The 6,173-nt window shown below is 41.6% G+C and overlaps 1 annotated feature.

Moving 5' to 3' along the window:
* Positions 2,337 to 2,880: an enhancer, noted in NCBI's record as "H3K27ac hESC enhancer chr8:115017837-115018380 (GRCh37/hg19 assembly coordinates)". NCBI's record gives its function as "activates a minimal SCP1, AML or CMV promoter by ChIP-STARR-seq in naive H9 embryonic stem cells {active_cell/tissue: H9 hESC(naive)}" and the evidence as "EXISTENCE:reporter gene assay evidence [ECO:0000049][PMID:30033119]".

Here is a 6,173-nt window from a genome sequence, read left to right on the forward strand (position 1 = left end):
TGTGTCTCTATTTCCTTCAGTTCTGCTCTGATTTTAGTTATTTCTTGCCTTCTGCTAGCTTTTGAATGTGTTTGCTCTTGCTTTTCTAGTTCTTTTAATTGTGATGTTAGGGTGTCAATTTTGGATCTTTCCTGCTTTCTCTTGTGGGCATTTAGTGCTATAAATTTCCCTCTACACACTGCTTTGAATGCATCCCAGAGATTCTGGTATGTTGTGTCTTTGTTCTCGTTGGTTTCAAAGAACATCTTTATTTCTGCCTTCATTTCGTTATGTACCCAGTAGTCATTCAGGAGCAGGTTGTTCAGTTTCCATGTAGTTGAGCGGTTTTGAGTGAGATTCTTAATCCTGAGTTCTAGTTTGATTGCACTGTGGTCTGAGAGATAGTTTGATATAATCTCTGTTCTTTTACATTTGCTGAGGAGAGCTTTACTTCGCAGTATGTGGTCAATTTTGGAATAGGTGTGGTGTGGTGCTGAAAAAAATGTATATTCTGTTGATTTGGGGTGGAGAGTTCTGTAGATGTCTATTAGGTCCGCTTGATGCAGAGCTGAGTTCAATTCCTGGGTATCCTTGTTGACTTTCTGTCTCGTTGATCTGTCTAATGTTGACAGTGGGGTGTTAAAGTCTCCCATTATTATTGTGTGGGAGTCTAAGTCTCTTTGTATGTCTCTAAGAACTTGCTTTATGAATCTGGGTGCTCCTGTATTGGGTGCATGTATATTTAGGATAGTTAGCTCTTCTTGTTGAATTGATCCCTTTACCATTATGTAATGGCCTTCTTTGTCTCTTCTGATCTTTGTTGGTTTAAAGTCTGTTTTATCAGAGACTAGGATGGCAACCCCTGCCTTTTTTTGTTTTCCATTGGCTTGGTAGATCTTCCTCCATCCTTTTATTTTGAGCCTATGTGTGTCTCTGCACGTGAGATGGGTTTCCTGAATACAGCACACTGATGGGTCTTGACTCTTTATCCAATTTGCCAGTCTGTGTCTTTTAATTGGAGCATTTAGTCCATTTACATTTAAAGTTAATATTGTTATGTGTGAATTTGATCCTGTCATTACGATGTTAGCTGGTTATTTTGCTCGTTAGTTGATGCAGTTTCTTCCTAGTCTCGATGGTCTTTACATTTTGGCATGATTTTGCAGCGGCTGGTACTGGTTGTTCCTTTCCGTGTTTAGCGCTTCCTTCAGGAGCTCTTTTAGGGCAGGCCTGGTGTTGACAAAATCTCTCAGTATTTGCTTGTCTGTAAAGTATTTTATTTCTCCTTCACTTATGAAGCTTAGTTTGACTGGATATGAAATTCTGGGTTGAAAATTCTTTTCTTTAAGAATGTTGAATATTGGCCCCCACTCTCTTCTGGCTTGCAGGGTTTCTGCCAAGAGATCCACTGTTAGTCTGATGGGCTTCCCTTTGAGGGTAACCCGACCTTTCTCTCTGGCTGCCCTTAACATTTTTTCCTTCATTTCAACTTTGGTGAACCTGACAATTATGTGTCTTGGAGTTGCTCTTCTTGAGGAGTTTCTTTGTGGCATTCTCTGTATTTCCTGAATCTGAACTTTGGCCTGCCTTGATAGATTGGGGAAGTTCTCCTGGATAATATCCTGCAGAGTGTTTTTCAACTTGGTTCCATTCTCCCCATCACTTTCAGGTACACCAATCAGACGTAGATTTGGTCTTTTCACATAGTCCCCTATTTCTTGGAGGCTTTGCTCATTTCTTGTTATTCTTTTTTCTCTAAACTTCCCTTCTCGCTTCATTTCATTCATTTCATCTTCCATTGCTGATACCCTTTCTTCCAGTTGATCGCATCGGCTCCTGAGGCTTCTGCATTCTTCACGTAGTTCTCAAGCCTTGGTTTTCAGCTCCATCAGCTCCTTTAAGCACTTCTCTGTATTGGTTATTCTAGTTATACATTCTTCTAAATTTTTTTCAAAGTTTTCAACTTCTTTGCCTTTGGTTTGAATGTCCTCCCGTAGCTCAGAGTAATTTGATCGTCTGAAGCCTTCTTCTCTCAGCTCGTCAAAGTCATTCTCCATCCAGCTTTGTTCCGTTGCTGGTGAGGAACTGCGTTCCTTTGGAGGAGGAGAGGTGCTCTGCGTTTTAGGGTTTCCAGTTTTTCTGTTCTGTTTTTTCCCCATCTTTGTGGTTTTATCTACTTTTGGTCTTTGATGATGATGATGTACAGATGGGTTTTTGGTGTGGATGTCCTTTCTGTTTGTTAGTTTTCCTTCTAACAGACAGGACCCTCAGCTGCAGGTCTGTTGGAATACCCTGCCACGTGAGGTGTCAGTGTGCCCCTGCTGGGGGGTGCCTCCTCCCAGTTAGGCTGCTCAGGGGTCAGGGGTCAGGGACCCACTTGAGGAGGCAGTCTGCCCGTTCTCAGATCTCCAGCTGCATGCTGGGAGAACCACTGCTCTCTTCAAAGCTGTCAGACAGGGACATTTAAGTCTGCAGAGGTTACTACTGCTGTCTTTGTTTGTCTGTGCCCTGCCCCCAGAGGTGGAGCCTACACAGGCAGGCAGGCCTCCTTGAGCTGTGGTGGGCTCCACCCAGTTGGAGCTTCCCAGCTGCTTTGTTTACCTAATCAAGCCTGGGCAATGGCGGGCGGCCCTCCTCCAGCCTCGCGGCCGCCTTGCAGTTTGATCTCAGACTGCTGTGCTAGCAATCAGCGAGACTCCATGGGCATAGGACCCTCCGAGCCAGGTGCCGGATATAATCTGGTGGTGCGCCGTTTTTTAAGCCGGTCCGAAAAGCCCAATATTCGGGTGGGAGTGACCCGATTTTCCAGGTATGTCCGTCACCCCTTTCTTTGACTGGGAAAGGGAACTCCCTGACCCCTTGCGCTTCCTGAGTGAGGCAGTGCCTCGCCCTGCTTCGGCTCGCGCACGGTGAGCGCACCCACTGACCTGCGCCCACTGTCTGGCCCTCCCTAGTGAGATGAACCCGGTACCTCAGATGGAAATGCAGAAATCACCCGTCTTCTGCGTCGCTCACGCTGGGAGCTGTAGACCGGAGCTGTTCCTATTCGGCCATCCTACCTTTCTTCTTAAAGTACGCACTTTATGACTTCTCTTTGACATATCAAAATTGCCATATCCACACTACTCATGTGATTTGTGGCCATTATTAAGCAAAATAACGGTTACTTGAACATAGGCCTGCAAGAGCACAGCCATCTGAGAACCGAAATGTCTGGTCAGTGACTATTGGGCAGGAAGCATGGCCCCAAGGTGGACAGGGCTGGATGCCACGAGATTTGATCACATTATTCAGAATGGCATGCAATTTAAATCTTATGAATGTTCATTTCTAAAATTTCCTATTTAATATTTTTGGATCATATTTGACAACATATAACTGAATCCAGAGAAAGTAAAAATGGAGATAAGGGCGTGGGCCTACTGCACTTTTTGTGGGTGTGCACAGCTGGTTATAAGAGTATTCCGGTAATTTAAGAGGTTAAAATTTAGAGGTAAAGCATGTGAGATCATTCCCTTAGGGAAGAAGAAATGCATCACCTAAAAATAAATCAGATTATTATCCATATTAGGAATTTCTGTGATTTTCCTACTTCTTTTTGAGTACCCATGCTTTGTGCCATAGTGATTTGAAAAAAAGCCAGCTCAGTCTTGCTTTTGTTTGTGTTTCTTCTTTGGAATAGAGAGCAACTTCATTAAAATCCTTCTTCTTTTATTTATTCATTGGCAAATATAGAAGTAGAGATGAAGTTATATGTATGGCTCAATATATTTGGAATAGTAAGCCATAAATATATATTTCAAGCGAAATTTGTTCTTATATCACAGAATCATAAATTCAATTATAAAAAATGTAGCAAAGAGAAGCACAGAGGCATTATACAGACTTGACATTGTGCAATATTTCTGCATAGGACATCATTTTATAGGAAGGCATACATGCATATATATATATATACACACACACAGCATGTAAAACTTATTTTGTTGAAAGAAATGTAGTCAGGTTTTGAATCTGCTACTTACTAATAGTATGGCTTTATCACATAATTTCATCTTTCTTGAACAAGGTTCCAATGAGATGCTAAATGTTGCTTTTCTTTTTCTGGACTTTTGATCACACATGATAGAATCAAGACCATTTGCACAAGGTAAGCTCAAAAATTAGGGAACTGACTGGGACTTAGTTCATCACTCACTTCTCCAGTTACAATCAAAGTCAAGGAAATTGACCAAGAGATGACAGTAGTGGAGATTCCTTAGAAAAAACAAACAATGTGAAGTCCATATTCAATCCATACCTCTCTGGGGAAAGATGAGAGCATCTTTTCCCACACCCCAAAGTAACTAAGGTGAGCTTCAGGGAATTATAAGACAGACTGATGTTAGATTTCTTGAATATAAATGGGACCATATAAATTGGTTTTTACTCATACCTGGAAATGTCTAAAGATTAAGAGCTGAATAGAGCTACCCCTGATTTCAGAGGAAAAGGAGAAGGCAAGAATGGGAATGCAGCTACCACCAATATCATGGCAAAGATGTGTGCTTCCTTTTGGCCAGCTATGGACCCCAAGAATGAATACTGACTTGATTTTGAAAAGGGCTTTATTCAAAAGAATCGTGGTGGTATTTTGGGGAGAGGGGGTAAGACGCTAAAAAAATTCTGTATGGGTTAATTAGTCATATGCTACTGCTAGAAAGTGAGGGGACAGGAGTATGCTGTGAAAATAATCAGTTGCATCATCTAGAAATAGAAGATGCAAGTTATCTCAAAGATTAGTTCACTTAATGATCCACAAAAGCTTTTTTGTTTTTCTTTTAAGACAGGATTTTACTCCTATTGCCCAGGCTGGAAGTCAGTGGAGCAAACACGGCTGACTCACTGCAGCCTCAACCTTTTGGGCTCAAGCGATCCTCCTGCCTCTCCTGGGACTACCGACGGTGCCATACCCAGCTAATTTTATAAATATTTGTAGAGACAGTTTCACTATGTTAGCCAGGCTGGTTTCAAACCCCTGGACTCAAGATATCCTCCAGAATTGACTTCCCTAACTGCTGGGATTACAGGCATGAGCCACCAAGCCTGGCCTCGCAAAAGCTTTTTGAGTGGGGAAAAATACTGTGTTTGGAGAGCTATCATATATGACGATGTTTTCAAGAGTTAAATACTGAGATGTTGCAACATGAGACTTTTTATTTGTTTGTTCTTCCTTTCCCCCTCTTTTATACCTCCCCATTCTGTGACAGTTTGGAGGAACTAGAAACAACGCGGGGAATGGAGGGAAAATTGCAAAGCCAAAATGAATAATAGAAAAGAATGCACCCGGCGGGGCTCGGTGGCTCACGCCTGTAATCCCAGCACTTTGGGAGGCCAAGGCGGGTGGATTACGAGGTCAGGCGATCGAGACCATCCTGGCTAACAGGGTGAAACCCCGTCTCTACTAAAAATACAAAAAAAAATTAGCCAGGCGTGGTGGCGGGCGCCTGTAGTCCCAGCTACTCCAGAGGCTGAGGTAGGAGAATGGCATGAACCCGGGAGGCGGAGCTTGCGGTGAGCCGAGATCACGCCGCTGCACTCCAGCCTGGGCTACAAAGCGAGACTCCGTCTCAAAAAAAAAAAAAAAAAAAAGAAAATAATGCACCCCTTCTTTCCTGCCCATCCCCTGTAGTTTATGGAGCCTAAGTTAGGCCTGAACTTAAAGGGAGAAAAATATTTTAAAATATGAGAAATATATATTAGATTGTACTAGACCTTTAGAACCTGAAAGACAACTTGTTAATACCTTGAAGTTATTGGAAAATCTTGCTTAGATAGAACTAGCAGCTGTGATGATGTGAAAGACTAATGTTACATTTTGCTTAAAACCTAGTAAGTCTGTTTCATTCAAGAAACTATCACTATGTTATATACAATCAAGTAGTACAATGTTTCCCCCACACAGACTCTGATAATGAGCAATATTGTCCTTTGATTTCATAAAATAATAATTGTAAGTAATTGTTAGTAATTTTAGTAATTAATGTAAATGGTTTATCATATATTGTTGAAAGATATATTAAATGCATTGTTGAGAGATTAACATATCTTGTAATGTAAATGCTTTATCACACATTGTTGAAAGATATGTTAATCTTTCAGTAATCACAAGAGGTAGGAATAATTAATGTCCTATTTGACAGATGCATAGAGTG

This window comes from Homo sapiens, chromosome 8, assembly GCF_000001405.40.
Source record: "Homo sapiens chromosome 8, GRCh38.p14 Primary Assembly".
NCBI classification, from domain to species: domain Eukaryota; kingdom Metazoa; phylum Chordata; class Mammalia; order Primates; family Hominidae; genus Homo; species Homo sapiens.